This window comes from Homo sapiens, chromosome 19 (genome assembly GCF_000001405.40).
Source record: "Homo sapiens chromosome 19, GRCh38.p14 Primary Assembly".
Taxonomy (NCBI): domain Eukaryota; kingdom Metazoa; phylum Chordata; class Mammalia; order Primates; family Hominidae; genus Homo; species Homo sapiens.
The window spans coordinates 1,145,499-1,158,861 of record NC_000019.10 but is presented as its reverse complement, the minus strand read 5'-3'; the positions used below and the strand labels follow the sequence as shown (position 1 = coordinate 1,158,861).

Sequence of the window (13,363 nt, the reverse complement as noted above, 5' to 3'; positions counted from 1 at the left end):
ACGGCTGTGAGGTCACCGGAGGCCGCAAGTCCGCTCTGTCTTATGGCCGTGGCTCTGTGCGGGGTTCCCGGGACACCCGGGGGCCTGCTCCTTGCCATCTTCAGGTCCTGGGACGCAGGGAGCGCCTTGTGCCTGCCCGGAGAACCTCGGCTGAGGTAATGCGGCCTCCAGGGACTGTGCGGTGGCCTCTGCCGGGCTCCATCACCACGGTCGCGCCCGCTCGCCCGGGCCTCGCCGCCTCCTCCTCAGACCTCCATGTCCGCCTTTGCTGGCGCAGGCCTTGAGATGCTGCCGGGTGTGCCAGGAGACCAGAACCCGGGCCTGGGCGGAGCGCTCTGGGGTGTGCCGTGCGCCCTGGGTCCTCCCGTGGTCTCGGTTATGGCTCTGCGGCCAGTGTCTTCTCAGGGTCTCCGCTTTGCCGTCGCGAACGTGGGCACAGCGTGGCCTGAGCTGCTGAGTCTGGCTCTGGGGGTCACGTCAAGGCTCCACCTAGGGGCCTCCGTGTCCACATCCGAAAGTGCGGGGGTCACAACCCTGCTCGGCGAGAGGACGGCAGGAGAACCGGGCTCCGAGGACACAGCTCCCCATCTGCAGACGGCTCGGGTCTGAGGGCGGAGCGCGCGAAGGGGCTCCACACGACAGGTGCTCAGGGACCCCCAGGGGGAGGGTCCGCACAGTGGCCAGTTCTGAACATCAGGAGGCTGAGCTGTTGCTGCACAGCGTGGGGTGAGACCCTGGGGCGTCCAGCCAGGAAGACGGGGACTTCAGCAGGCTCAGAAGAAAGAGGCGGGAGGCGGCCGCAGTTACCCGGACTCAGGAGAGAGAGACGGGAGGCAGATGCAGTTACCCAGACTCAGGAGAGAGCTGGGAGGCGGACAGTTATCCGGACTCAGGAGAGAGCTGGGAGGCGGACAGTTATCCGGACTCAGGAGAGAGCTGGGAGGCGGACAGTTATCCGGACTCAGGAGAGAGAGCTGGGAGGCAGATGCAGTTACCCGGACTCAAGAGAGAGAGCTGGGAGGCGGACGCAGTTACCCGGACTCAGGAGAGAGCTGGGAGGCGGACACAGTTACCCGGTTCCTCGGATTCTCCCGGATCTTGGTCCTGTCTGAGGTTCTGCCTTCCCAGTGGTTGTCCTGTCTGGGCCACCAGCACCTTCATCGTTCTCTTTTACAACGACTCCCTTGAAGACCTGATTTCAGAAGGAAGCCACATCCCCTCTGGGTGTCAGCGTGCTGATAAAGCGCGGGCCCCCTCCCAAGGTGGGAACCGTGTGACCCCCGCCCCCCCAACCCCCACACCACGCATCCCTCCAGTCATGGGACTCGCGCCCAAAAATAAAACCAGGCAGGGGACACGCTCTGCTGCCCGCTGGACGTTTGGCTGGCCCGTGGCTCTGAGGCTCGGGGTGGGCCGTGTCACCGGGGCCGCGTGGGGAGAGGGTCTCCGGGGCCGCGTGGGGAGAGCGTCTCCGGGGCTGCGTGGCAGAGGGTCTCCGGGGCCGCGTGGGGAGAGCGTCTCCGGGGCTGCGTGGCAGAGGCTGCGTTGGGGTGTTCTCAGGCCCCAAGACCCCACCCAGTGTCCCACTAGGGTTTATCCTGGGGATTGGGGCAGCTGGATGCCCCAGAGACATGGCGTGGTCACAGCTGCTGCAAGAAACGGCGGCGGAGTCAATGGGGGAAGGGTCCGGAGGGCTCAGGACCATGGGGTGGGAGCCAGCCCTTGGGGGCGTGGGCCCTCGGACAGGACCGAGTCTGCAGGCAGGGCTAGGGGCTGGGGGCTGCGGGAGGGCCTGGGGATCGGGGCAGCAGGGGTTGTGAGATATGGCCGAGGACAGGGTGGGAGGCGATGGGGGGCTGGCAGTGGGCGGAAAGGCAGGGCTGTGGGTCCTGAGGGATTGCAGAGGGTGGGCGTTCTCAGGAGTGGCGGGTCCTGGGGGATTGCAGAGGGTGGGCGTTCTCAGGAGTGGGCACAGCCTGAAGTGTTGGGTTGTGGGGGGACTTGGAAATGGGCCCCGGGTGCAGGGTCGCCCCAGCCCGGCACCCACGCATCCCCTTCTGTCTCTGGATGGGCCCGTCCTGGACAGTGCATAGTAGTGGGATCACACACATCTGTGCCTGGCGTCTCTCACAGAGCGTGACGTCCTCAAGGTGCGTCTGCGCTGTGGCCTAGGTCGGCCTCGCTGCTGTTCATGGCTGTGTCGTGTTCTGGCACGTGGATGGGCCACGCCACATGCTGGTCCACTCGCCTATCCGTGGACACTGGGCTGCTTCCTCGGGTGGCTGTTGTGAGTGGTGCTGCTGTGGACGTGCATGGCCACGTTTCTGTGTGGTGTGGAATTGCTCGGTGGTGTGGTGACTCCAGCGTTAGCCTCTTGAGGAATCCCAGACTGCCAAGCAGCCGTGTGTGAGGATCCGCCTCCGCCTCCGCCTCCTGGTTTTGGGCCCTGACTCTTGGTTGGTTGTGCCTGGTGTCCGCATTGTTCTCCTGCCCCCATCCCCTCCCGGTCCAGGTCTCCACACCCTGCCAGGTCCCCAAGGCATGGACTCCAGGTCACATGCCATGTGTGAAGCCCTCCCCTTGAAGAACCCGGTCCCCTGAGCCTCCTGGGGTTGCCGCCTGGAAGGGGCGTCCACAGACGTGGGGGGCTCAGAGACCGTAGGGAGGGAGGAGCTGCCAGGAGCACCGTGCTGGCCTAGGGGACTCGGACACAGGCGAGCTCAGGGCCCCTGCTGCTGGAGGGGTCCCTCAGCTATGGTGTACCCCGAGGACGGTCATGGGGTCGCCCCAGAGCTGCCCAAGGTGCCCCCTCCCCAAGCTCCGTCCACCGTGGGGCCTGGGCCCTGCTGCCCATCAGCTCAGGACTGTGTGGCCTCAGAGCTGAGGAGCGCCCTGAGTGTGGAAAAGGTCAGCGTAGCTCTGGGGCTGTGGCTGCCGTGAGATGGAACCTGCAGCAGGAAGGGGTGCTGACAGGAGCTGAGGGGAGTCCCTGCAGGGGAGGGGCTGCTGAGCCCCAAGGCAGGGGGTGGGCCACCCCCTAGCACTGGTGGGCCCCTGGATGGGGACCCCGGTATCAGCAGCTGCCTTGGGCCCAGCAGAGCTGTTTGTGGCCACCAGCACACGGGGCCGGGGTCGGGGGGTCCCAGGCTCTACCCAGAGAACCTGTCTCCCAGAGGAACATACCGAGGCTTGGAGGAGCTTGGGTGTCTGAGGTTATTCAACTCAGAAGGTGGAGCCAGGCTTTGATCCTGCCTGACCCAGAATCTTTGACAAGGATTGGCCAAGACCCCAGATCCCAGCGGGCCTGTCCCTTCCCCTAAAGGGCCGTTCTGGCAAGGGTGTCGCAGGTCCCCGTGGGCAGCTGGAAGGGCTGCCAAGGGTCCCAGCTCTGGTGGCAGTGGGTTGTAGCGTCCTGACTGCAGGGAGCAGGCAGAGGCCGCGGACAGTTGGGACGGCCTGGCAGGGTGACCCCCACTGTGCCTGACCACCTCCATCTGGTCTCTGGGACAGGAGTCCCGACCCCCAGCCCCTGTTGCCCGGCCACTGTCTCTGGAGCGCCGGGCAGAGACGTGCCTCTCCCCCACGGGATTGCACAAGTGCCTGCGTGTGGCTGGACGGCAATTACTGGAAGTCCCGGAGATTTCTTCACTCCAGGGCTTGGCCGGGAGTGGCCGCCGCCTCCCCTTCCTGCCGCCCTCGGCAGTGAGCATGCTGGGCGGACGCCTGGAAAGCTTTCCCTGCCACCACGGGCCAGCCTGGGTCCCTGCACTCGCCAGGTAGGGCCTGGTGGGGGCTCAGCCTGGCGGGCGTCTGGCCGTGTGCCAGAGGCCGCGGGGCACGTGGGAGCTGTCCCTGGCGTCTGATGGTGTGGGGCTCGGCTCTGTAGCCCAGGAACGTTCTCAGTGGGGATGCTGGTGTGTGATTAGCCTGAAACGAGGTCTGGGTGCTCTTCCAGCTCTGCGTGGCCCCTGACCCCCCTCCTTGGGAGACCTCACTGTGGAGCCCCTGCTGCCTCTGAGGGACAGGGCTGGGTCCAGTGTCCCCTGGGCTCCCCTGGGTGCCGGGCCCGGGTTGGACTCTCCCTCCACAGTCTCACACCGGCTGCTGACAAAGCCAGATGTGGGGGAGTCAGCCTGCAGCTCCACTGCTCACAGTCTGGGTGCCTGGTCCTACGGCTGCCCTGTGACCTGGGCAGCCCTGTCGGGCCCACCTTAATCGTTGTAGTTGGGGCCGGGGAGGCCAGGAAAGGCGCTGTGGGCAGCACAAAGGAGTTGGGTGGCACTGCTGATGGCGGGTGGGGGTGAGTGGGGAGGGGAAGGAGCGCCTTTTGGTTCCGGCCCAGGAGGTAGCAGGAGCTGCAGCCCAGGCTGGGACCGGTCATGCCCGAGGGAGAGGCGGCCGGGGAGCACCACTCTCCACCACCGTTGGACTCTCAGGACGTCCCCGTCTCCCTCTGCAGATCATGATGCTGCCGCCACCGCCGCCACCACGGAGCGAGAAGCCCAGATAGACGCCCCGGCGGCCCCGGGTCCTGGAGTCCCGCCGCCTGCTGCCCGGCCGAGGACCCCACCCCGCCTGCCGCCCGATGCTTGCAGTGGGGCCCGCCATGGACAGGGATTACCCGCAGCATGAACCCCCGCCGGCGGGCAGCCTCCTGTACAGCCCGCCGCCCCTGCAGGTGAGCCCCACCCCCGGCCCCGGCCCACCCGACGGGGTCCACGGGCACTTGCCCCGCTCCGAGTGCCCGGGGTCACGTCGTGCGGAATGCTGCCCCAGTGGACGCGGCGTGATCTCCACCTGACCTTCCTGGCCCGGAGCCCGGCTCCACCCGCCCCCGTGGGCCCTGGAGAAGGGTCCCCATGGGGATGTGAATGGGAGGCTACTCATGGCCCCAGCTTTTCAAGAAGCACATTTGAGGAGATTCTCCCTGCTGCAGAGCTTCCAGTTCCTTCGCCGTCAGCTGTAGGGGGGGCTCAACTTTACTTGTAGGAACCTGTCAGTGAGGGAATTACTTAAAAAATATGTTTCTGGCCAAGTGGCTCGTGCTTGTAATCCCAGCACTTTGGGAGGTGGAGGTGGGCAGATCACCTGAGGTCCCGAGTTCAAGACCAGCCTGGCCAACATAGTGAAACCTCGCTTCTGCTAAAGATACCAAACTTAGCCAGGCGTGGTGGCGGACGCCTGTAATCCCAGCTACTCGGGAGGCTGAGGCAGGAGAATTGCTTAAATCTAGGAGGCAGAGGCTGCAGTGAGTGGAGACGGCGCCACTGAACTCTAGCCTGGGCGACAAGAGTGAGACTCCATCTCAAAAAAATGAAAAATAGGCCTGGCACGGTGGCTCACGCCTGTAATCCTAGCACTTTCAGAGGCCAAGGCGGGCAGATCACTTGAGGTCAGGAGTTTGAGACCAGCCTGGCCAACATGGTGAAACCCTGTCTCTACTAAAAATACAAAAAATTAGCCTGGCGTGGTGGCAGGTGTCTGTAATCCCAGCTACTTGGGAGGCTGAGGCAGGAGAATCGCTTGAACCTGGGAGGCAGAGGCTGCAGTGAGCAGAGATTGCACCACTGCACTCCAGCCTGGGTGACAGAGCGAAACTGTGGCTCAAAAAGAAAAAAAAAAATTTTTAAATTAAAAATATATAAACGTGTATATATATATTTATTTTTATTTTATTTCATTTTATTTTATTTTGTTTTGTTATTTTTAAAACACGGTTTCACTCTGTTGCCCAGGCTGGAAGTGCAGTGGTGCGATCTCGGCTCACTGCAGCCTCTGCCTCCTGGGCTAGTGATTCTCCTGCCTCAGCCTCCTGAGTAGCTGGGACCACAGGTACGCGCCACCATGCCCGGCAGATTTTTAAAATTTTCTCGTAGAGATGAGGTTTTGCCCCGTTGGACACGCTGGTCTCAAACTCCCGGGCTCAGTTGACCCGCCTGCCTTGACCTCCCAAAGTGCTGGGATTACAGGCGTGAGCCACCGCGCCCGGCCCTGCCTGGGGATTTACCTGGAGACAGAGGGGCTGCCCTCTCCTATCAAGCAGCAGGACCTGCTCCAGGACTCCAGGGTCTCCTGGGTACTCCCTAGCCCAACACCCAGGTTGGCCTGTGGGGCGAACATCACAGACACCCCTCGGCAGTCCATCCTCAGAGGGCTTTGGGCAGCTTCCTGCCATGTTCTGACCGTCCAGAGGGGGCTCTGAGCTGGGGCCAGGGTACCCCTCTCGTAGCAGGGTCCCTGTTGCGGCCCAGACCCCTCCTGTCCCCCTCCCTAGTTCCTGAGTCCCTTGGGGTTGAGGCTGGATCCTCACAGCTGCCCCGGTGGAGCTCGAGTACCGGCCGTCGGTCAGCCTCCTGGGCCACCATAAAGGGGACTGGCCAAGCCACATCCCCACCGGAACAGCTCCATCCCCCGAAACCCGCCAGGAGCTTGTTCCGATCCAAGAATTCTATCTCGGAAACACACCCTGGGGACTAATCCAGGAGGGAGGGGAAGACAGAGCGGCACTATTTATAGTGGCAGGAAACTGGAATCTCCCCAGAGGCTCTACGGTGGGGAAATAATTAAGCGAATTATGGGATGTGGAGACAGAGGAGCCATCTTCAAGGATCCGAGCGGGAGCAGGAAGGTGTTAGCAGTGACAGTCGGGGAATGCGACAGGGCTGGAACCCGGCGGGGGCACTGGACACCAGCCACAGGGCTCAGGCCGGGGCGCACCCGTGCGCGTAACCGGCTTTGCTCCCCATCCCGTGTGTGAGGCTCATCCCACCCTCCCTGTTCCGGGTTCCGTCACATTCGGGTACGTCATGGACACCTCTGGGCAGGGTCGACTGAGTTCGCACACGCACAGCCCAGCCTCTTCCAGTGCCCAGAGTATTCAATTAGAAATAAAAATACACCGGCCAGCACAATGGTTCACGCCTGAAATCCCAGCACTCTGGGAGGCCGAGGTGGGCACATTGCTTGGGGTCAGGAGTTCGAGACCGGCCTGGCCAACATGATGAAATCCCATCTCTACTAAAAATACAAAAGTTAGCTGGGCGTGGTGGCGGGCGCCTGTAATCCCAGCTACGCATGAGGCTGAGACAGGAGAATCGCTTGAACTCGGGAGGTGGAGGTTGCAGTGAGCCACGATCGTGCCACTGCACTTCAGCCTGGGTGACAGAGTGAGACTCCGTCTCAAAATAAGGAAAGGAAAGAAAATCACCAGGCAGGCTCTGATTGTCTGGGCAGGGTCAGGTGCCCATCTCTGGACCAATTATGTGCTAGGACCTGCCATCTAAAGGTGAAGCCACACCCTCTGGCTGCCAGAGAAGGTCCCAGGGAAGACTCTGATTGGCCTGCCATGCCCATGGCACCCCTGTGGGGTGGGACTCGGGTGTGTGTGGATGGCAGGTCTCAGAGGAGCCATGGGCTGTGGGAGGGAGGAGACTAGGGGGATAGAGGCAGTCAGGACTTTCCCCCCGTCCCATCCCCTAGCCTGGCCTGGGTACAGGTGGAGCATGTTGGGTGAGCCAGGGACCCCTGGATCCTCCCGCCCTGCGACCCCAAGCCCCCCGCCCCCTTCCTGCAGCTGCAGTTCCCTGGCCGTGGCCCTGCCCAGCCTGGCCCAAGGCGCCGTGTGTGCCTGAGACGGACTCCAGCTCATCTGAGGAGGCTGGGTTGGTCTGGAGTCAGAGTTCTGTTCCAGAATGTTCCGGATGTGCCACATGGCCTTGGGAAGTTCCTGTTTCTCTCCAGGGCTGGCTTTCTCTCTTCCCAAAAGGGCAGGAGGAGGGGAAGGATCAGGAGACCCGGGCTCTGGAGCCCCTGTGGCTGGTGGCCCGGCTTCCTGCAAGCCACTTGCACGGGGTCTTCTCACGGGTGCAGGAGCTCAGGGTGCCCAGGCTGCCGGCCTCTGTGCAGGGGAGGAGCTGTGGGCTTTTGCTGATAAACTTATTTTATGCAAAAGCTGGAGGAGCGGGGCAGCGGTCACCCCGAGGGCTTTGCCTATCTCGAGGCTGTCGGGGGTCCTGGAATCCCCCACCCAGCACCTGCGGGTACAGAAAGTGGCCCCCGGCCATCCGGGCTGGTTCCCAGCCAGTGTGAGGTGAATGAGGGGCAGAGGTGGCCGAGCCCCAGGGAATTGCATCAGGGCCTCATAGAGGAGCAGGGCTCACGTGGGCCTGGGAGAGGTCACTGGGGGACTCAGGGAAGCAGGCGAACCCCCAACCCTGTTCTGGAAGCCAGCGTGGCCCCCAGTCCTGCTGGGATAAGCAGGATGATGCCCCCGGCTGGTGGTGTCTCCCCCATGACCACGGGGGCGTCCGTGACGGCAGGGTCTCCCCCGTGACCGTGGGGGCGTCCGTGACGGCAGGGTCTCCCCCGTGACCGTGGGGGCATCCGTGACGGCAGGGTCTCCCCCGTGACTGTGGGGGCGTCTGTGACGGCAGGGTCTCTCTGCTGCAGGTGAGGTTGGCCCTGTGCAGGTGGGGGCCCTGCTGAGGGGTGCCCATTCTGCAGGGCACGAGGTGTCCACAGCCCTGCCCCCGAAGCCGCAGGTGCTGACCCTGGGCCCGCTGCCGCCCTTGGGCCCGCTGCTGCCCCGTGTGCTCCCCATCCTCAGGTTTTGGGGCCTGCCGTGTGCCTCAAGCCGCTCTCATTCCCAAGGGCAGGCATAGTGAGGTTTTCCCAGAGAACCATGGGGTGGGGACATCGGCTCCTGGCGAGGGTGTTGGGTAAGCCTGGCCTGGAGTCAGACCCACCAGAGATTCGGCCAACCTGGAGCCACTCACGCCTCCACTGACCTCGGGCTGAGCCTCCAGGCCACTGGTCACCATTTCCCAAAGCAGGCTCCCCGCACCCCAGCCCCGTGCAGCTTCTGAGAAGTCAGGGCCCCGTCCCGCAGCAGCCTGAGCTTCCCGGGCACATCAGCTTGTCCGAGGGGCCTGGAGGTGGTGTGAGGCCCTCGCCTGCCCCAGGCCCTGCCCGAGGAGCCCCCGACACCCACCCTCCACCACAGGCAGCGGGTGCGCGTCTCCCTCACGCAAACGGTCCGATCCTCCACCTCCTAGAATGGGGCCTCCAAGCAGGGTCCCGGGGCCAGCGGCACCCCCAGGTCTTGTGTGAGATGCAGACTCCCGGGCTGCGGGCCTGCACATGGGGCTGCTGGTAGAGCAAGACCTGTGCTGAGCCCTTCACGCGGGTGGTTCAGTGCCTTCAGACCACACCACAAGCCTTGGGTGGGGTCTTGTGCAGGTGGGGAAACTGAGGCACGGGGCAGTTAAATGACTCCCCAGGAGATACCAGCAGGGGCGGGATGGGACCCTGACTGCGGGGCCTCCCTAGCCTCTCGGCCTGTCACCCTGCCCGGAGGGCTTAGCCGGGCTGCACCGCAGGTCCTCTGCTTCCCACTCACTGATGCCCGCTGTCTCTTCTAGAGCGCCATGCTGCACTGCCCCTACTGGAACACCTTCTCGCTGCCGCCATACCCTGCCTTCTCCAGCGACAGCCGGTGAGTACCGGGACCCTCCCCGCCTGGCCCCCAGGCTTGCTCATTCTGAAGTCACAGTTACAAACGGAGTTCTGGGTGCAGGGCGCGAGGGCCCAAAGTCTTGTTGAGGGGTTTGGAGGGTGGTGTGCACGTGGTCCTGGAAGGCTCCACCCCACGGGCCAGGTCCAGGCTGAGACCCCTGTTTGTGGAACGCTGTTTTGTGATCCATGGCTTCCCTCTCCTCGAGAGCCCAGCTTGGTAGAGGGCGGGGAGGTGTGGGCTATGGGCCAGGGGGGCCTCCTGTGGAGGTGACACCAGGATGGGAAGGGGCGGGAGGTTTTCTGGGGTGAAGGAGGGTGGGAAGGGGCGGGAGGTTTTCTGGGGTGAAGGAGGGTGGGAAGGGGCGGGAGGTTTTCTGGGGTGAAGGAGGGTGGGAAGGGGCGGGAGGTTTTCTGGGGTGAAGGAGGGTGGGAAGGGGCGGGAGGTTTTCTGGGGTGAAGGAGGGTGGGAAGGGGCGGGAGGTTTTCTGGGGTGAAGGAGGGTGGGAAGGGGCGGGAGGTTTTCTGGGGTGAAGGAGGGTGGGAAGGGGCGGGAGGTTTTCTGGGGTGAAGGAGGGTGGGAAGGGGCGGGAGGTTTTCTGGGGTGAAGGAGGGTGGGAAGGGGCGGGAGGTTTTCTGGGGTGAAGGAGGATGGGAAGGGGCGGGAGGTTTTCTGGGGTGAAGGAGGGTGGGAAGGGGCGGGAGGTTTTCTGGGGTGAAGGAGGGTGGGAAGGGGCGGGAGGTTTTCTGGGGTGAAGGAGGGTGGGAAGGGGCGGGAGGTTTTCTGGGGTGAAGGAGGGTGGGAAGGGGCGGGAGGTTTTCTGGGGTGAAGGAGGGTGGGAAGGGGCGGGAGGTTTTCTGGGGTGGGTGAAGGAGGGTGGGAAGGGCACTTTTCCCACAGAGGGCAGCAGCTGGGCTGGGTTCTGCAGGGGGGGTAGGAGTTGGCCAGGCGAGCAGTCGAGCAGGCTGTGCAAAGGGCTTGGGAGCAGGTATAGCCAGAGCCTTGGGAGACTCCAGGAGATTGTGGAGCAGCTGTTTGTGGCCCGGGAGTGGAGTGGATGCTTCTTTCCTGCTGGTGTTTGCAAACCTTTCTATGCAGGAGGAGAGTGGCCCCCAGGCGGTCCCTGCCCTGGGAGCAGGTCTGCCCAGGGCCGCCTCCAACCCAAGGCCTCCGGCTCCCACTGGGCAGAGACCTGGACCTGCTGCCAGCCCTGCTGGAGAGAAGCTTCTGGAGGGAGAGCCTGGGGAGCCTGGCGGGAGGGAAGGAGGCCCTGGGGACGGCGGCCACCCCTCTCCCAAGCGCAGGAGCTGGCCAAGGGGGCCGGAGTGGGGAAGGGCAGAGAAGCCTCCCTGCCAGCCACATTTTACTCCTGGGATCATCTGGAGAGAGGCGCCCCTGGGCGGGGGGCCCCCAGGACCTTCTCCTTGCTGTGTCCTTTGCCATCCTCAGGGTGACAGGGCGGGGGGTTCCGACCTGAGCCCTCCCTGGAGGACGGTGATCCTGGGTTTCTGCCCGTAGCGCTCTCCTCCTTCGAGGCGGGAGTGAGGTGTGGGTCAAGGGGCCTGTGTGTGGGGGAGGGATGGCCAGGCTGGGGTTCTGAATCGCCAGAATGAACCCTTAGCCGAGTCCTGCTGATGGAGCGGGGAGGGCGGGATGGTGGCCCTGGATGTCCCCCCGCCCACCAGGCGGCTGTTCCGTAGGAGCTCTGCCGGGCTGTGTCCAGTGGGGGTGGGAGGGCAGCCCCAGGCTTGACCACCACCCCCCTGGAGGCCCCTCTGTATGTGCAGCGGGGCCATGGGTCCTGCCGGGCTGGGCACACTCCAGTGGGGCCTCGAGGGGCCTCTGGCTGCGGCCATGGGGGTGCAGGTGTGTTACTGAGGGAGTGGGTTGAGCACCCCATCTCACCTCCCCCCCCCCCATCTCCCTCCAGCCCGTTCATGAGCTCCGCCTCCTTCCTCGGCAGCCAGCCCTGCCCAGACACCAGCTATGCCCCCGTGGCCACCGCCTCCAGCTTGCCACCAAAGACCTGCGACTTTGCTCAGGTAGGAGCCCCAGGAGCTCACCGCGCCGTGGGGGGCAGGGTGGAGTCTGGGCCGCCCCTCCAGCTGCCCTGCGACCTCTCTCGCTCAGGCCTGCCTGGGACTCAGTGACCTCGGCTTGGCCCCTCGGCCGCAGGGTTTACGGTGGGGCAGTAGGAGCCCAGAGATGTGGCTTGGTTTTGGGGAAGAGCCAGTGACTGGCCCTTCGTGTCAGCAGTGAGCCCCGCCCAGCCCTTGGGGTCCCTGCGAGCATCTGGGCAATGCCACAGAGGGAGTTGCGGGGAGGGCGGTGCTGGGAGAGATGCCCTTGGCAGCCTTTGCCCCCACGGCCCTCCCTCTAGGCGGGTCCAGACACCCTGCACATTGGAGTCCCAACCCCTTAGCAGCCACCTGAAAACGGAACTCACATACCAAAGGAACAGAACTTTCCACCTCCTTCTCCCCAGGGTCGCGGGGAGGCTCCCAGCCTCCCACTGCGGCATCAGGCGGACCCCACCCCCACCCTCCCAGCCTCCCCCTTCGGCATCAGGCGGACCCCACCCCCACCCTCACAGCCTCCCACTGCGGCATCAGGCGGACCCCACCCCCACCCTCACAGCCTTCCCCAAGGGGTTCCCAGTGCCCCAGCTTCCTCTCGGCAGCTCTGGAGCACCCAGTGCCACAGAGATCGGCTTCCCTGGGACGGTTCGGATACCACAGCCTCCGTGTGGGACCCGGGGCCAGGGGCTGCTGCTGGGCCGGACCACATCCAGGGCCTGCCGGGGAGCGAGGGTCACCTGGTGCTCAGCTCCCCCAAGCCTCCGCTTCCCCTGTGTAATGGGCATGTGAGATCTGCCTGGGCCTCAGAGCTGTTGGGGGGATGGGCGCAAGCCGGCCAGATCCAGAGAGAAGCGGTCAGGTGTGGCTGCAGCAGAATGGAGCCAATTCAGGTCCCAGGGCTCACCCAGACCCAGGCCCTGCAAACAGCTCGCCGGGTGGACCCCGGGCCCAGTTTTCCCCACTCAGGGCCGTAGCAGAGCGGGGCAAAGCCAGCCGGACCCTGAGTCTGTGCTGGGGTGACCGCGTCCGTCAAGTCCGCCTCCCCAGTAGAGTCTGTGAGGGGACCTTCCTGGAAAGTAGGGTCTTTTTGGATGTCATTGGGTAGGGATCAAGATGAGATGAGGTAGCTCTGAAATCCAGCACAAGGGTCCTCAGAAGAGACAGGAGAGATTGGGAGCTGGCGCCACGCTGGAGGCCGGGGCTGGGGCGGTGTGGCCACAGGTCAGTTTCTCCTGGAGCCCCAGGGCTGGAAGAGGTGGGTCAGAGCTGTGGGAGGGAGCAAGGCCCTGAGACACCTTGGCCTCAGACTCCCGGGCCCTGGGACGGGAAGAGGGTGGATTCCTGTCCTGTAGCCCCCAGTGTGTGGCCTGGAAATTGGCCTACCAGCTGTGTTCAGGGGAGGGGGGCGCCCCTGCTCATCTTGGGGCTGAGGTCAGCGAGGTGCGCACAGGGGCTCTGTCCTCACCCGCAGTAGCCCTGGACCCCCATGTGATCTGGTCCTGGCCAAGGTGTGGCAAGCTGCTGCGCCATGCCAGCCGGACACAGAAGGAAACTGAGGCAGGGGAGGCGCCTGTCCAGAGCTGGCATCTGTGCCCCACCCTTCAGGGGACGCACAGGGGAGGAGCCCGGGGTGCGACTGATGGCAGTGGCTCCTTCCTCACCGCCACTGCCTTCCTACCAGCCCCAGCCCTGGGTCAGCCTGTCCTTGCCCCGCCCCCTTCTTCTCTTTCACCCCTTCTCTGCCTCTTTCTGTGTGTTCCTTCTCTCTTTCCTT

At 64.3% G+C, this 13,363-nt stretch overlaps 1 protein-coding gene across 3 annotated transcripts in view, besides 3 other annotated features; it reads left to right on the top strand.

Moving 5' to 3' along the window:
* The window catches only part of SBNO2 (strawberry notch homolog 2), a 66,631-nt gene that overhangs the window by 15,407 nt on the left and 37,861 nt on the right, over positions 1–13,363 (top strand). For all 3 annotated transcript variants that reach the window (XM_011527804.4, NM_014963.3, XM_047438467.1), the window contains exons 2-4: positions 4,460–4,678; positions 9,420–9,493; positions 11,442–11,553. In XM_011527804.4, the coding sequence (XP_011526106.1) occupies positions 4,586–4,678; positions 9,420–9,493; positions 11,442–11,553 (279 nt within the window). In that variant the 5' untranslated portion in view covers positions 4,460–4,585. The remainder of the gene's footprint in view (positions 1–4,459; positions 4,679–9,419; positions 9,494–11,441; positions 11,554–13,363) is intronic.
* Positions 10,232–11,070: an enhancer, noted in NCBI's record as "H3K27ac-H3K4me1 hESC enhancer chr19:1147791-1148629 (GRCh37/hg19 assembly coordinates)". NCBI's record gives its function as "activates a minimal SCP1, AML or CMV promoter by ChIP-STARR-seq in primed H9 embryonic stem cells {active_cell/tissue: H9 hESC(primed)}" and the evidence as "EXISTENCE:reporter gene assay evidence [ECO:0000049][PMID:30033119]".
* Positions 10,232–11,134: a biological region, named in NCBI's record as "H3K27ac-H3K4me1 hESC enhancer GRCh37_chr19:1147791-1148629".
* Positions 10,980–11,134: a silencer, noted in NCBI's record as "fragment chr19:1147727-1147881 (GRCh37/hg19 assembly coordinates)". NCBI's record gives its function as "represses an EF-1alpha promoter that drives an FKBP-Casp9 reporter gene in an ReSE screen in K562 erythroleukemia cells {active_cell/tissue: K562}" and the evidence as "EXISTENCE:reporter gene assay evidence [ECO:0000049][PMID:32094911]".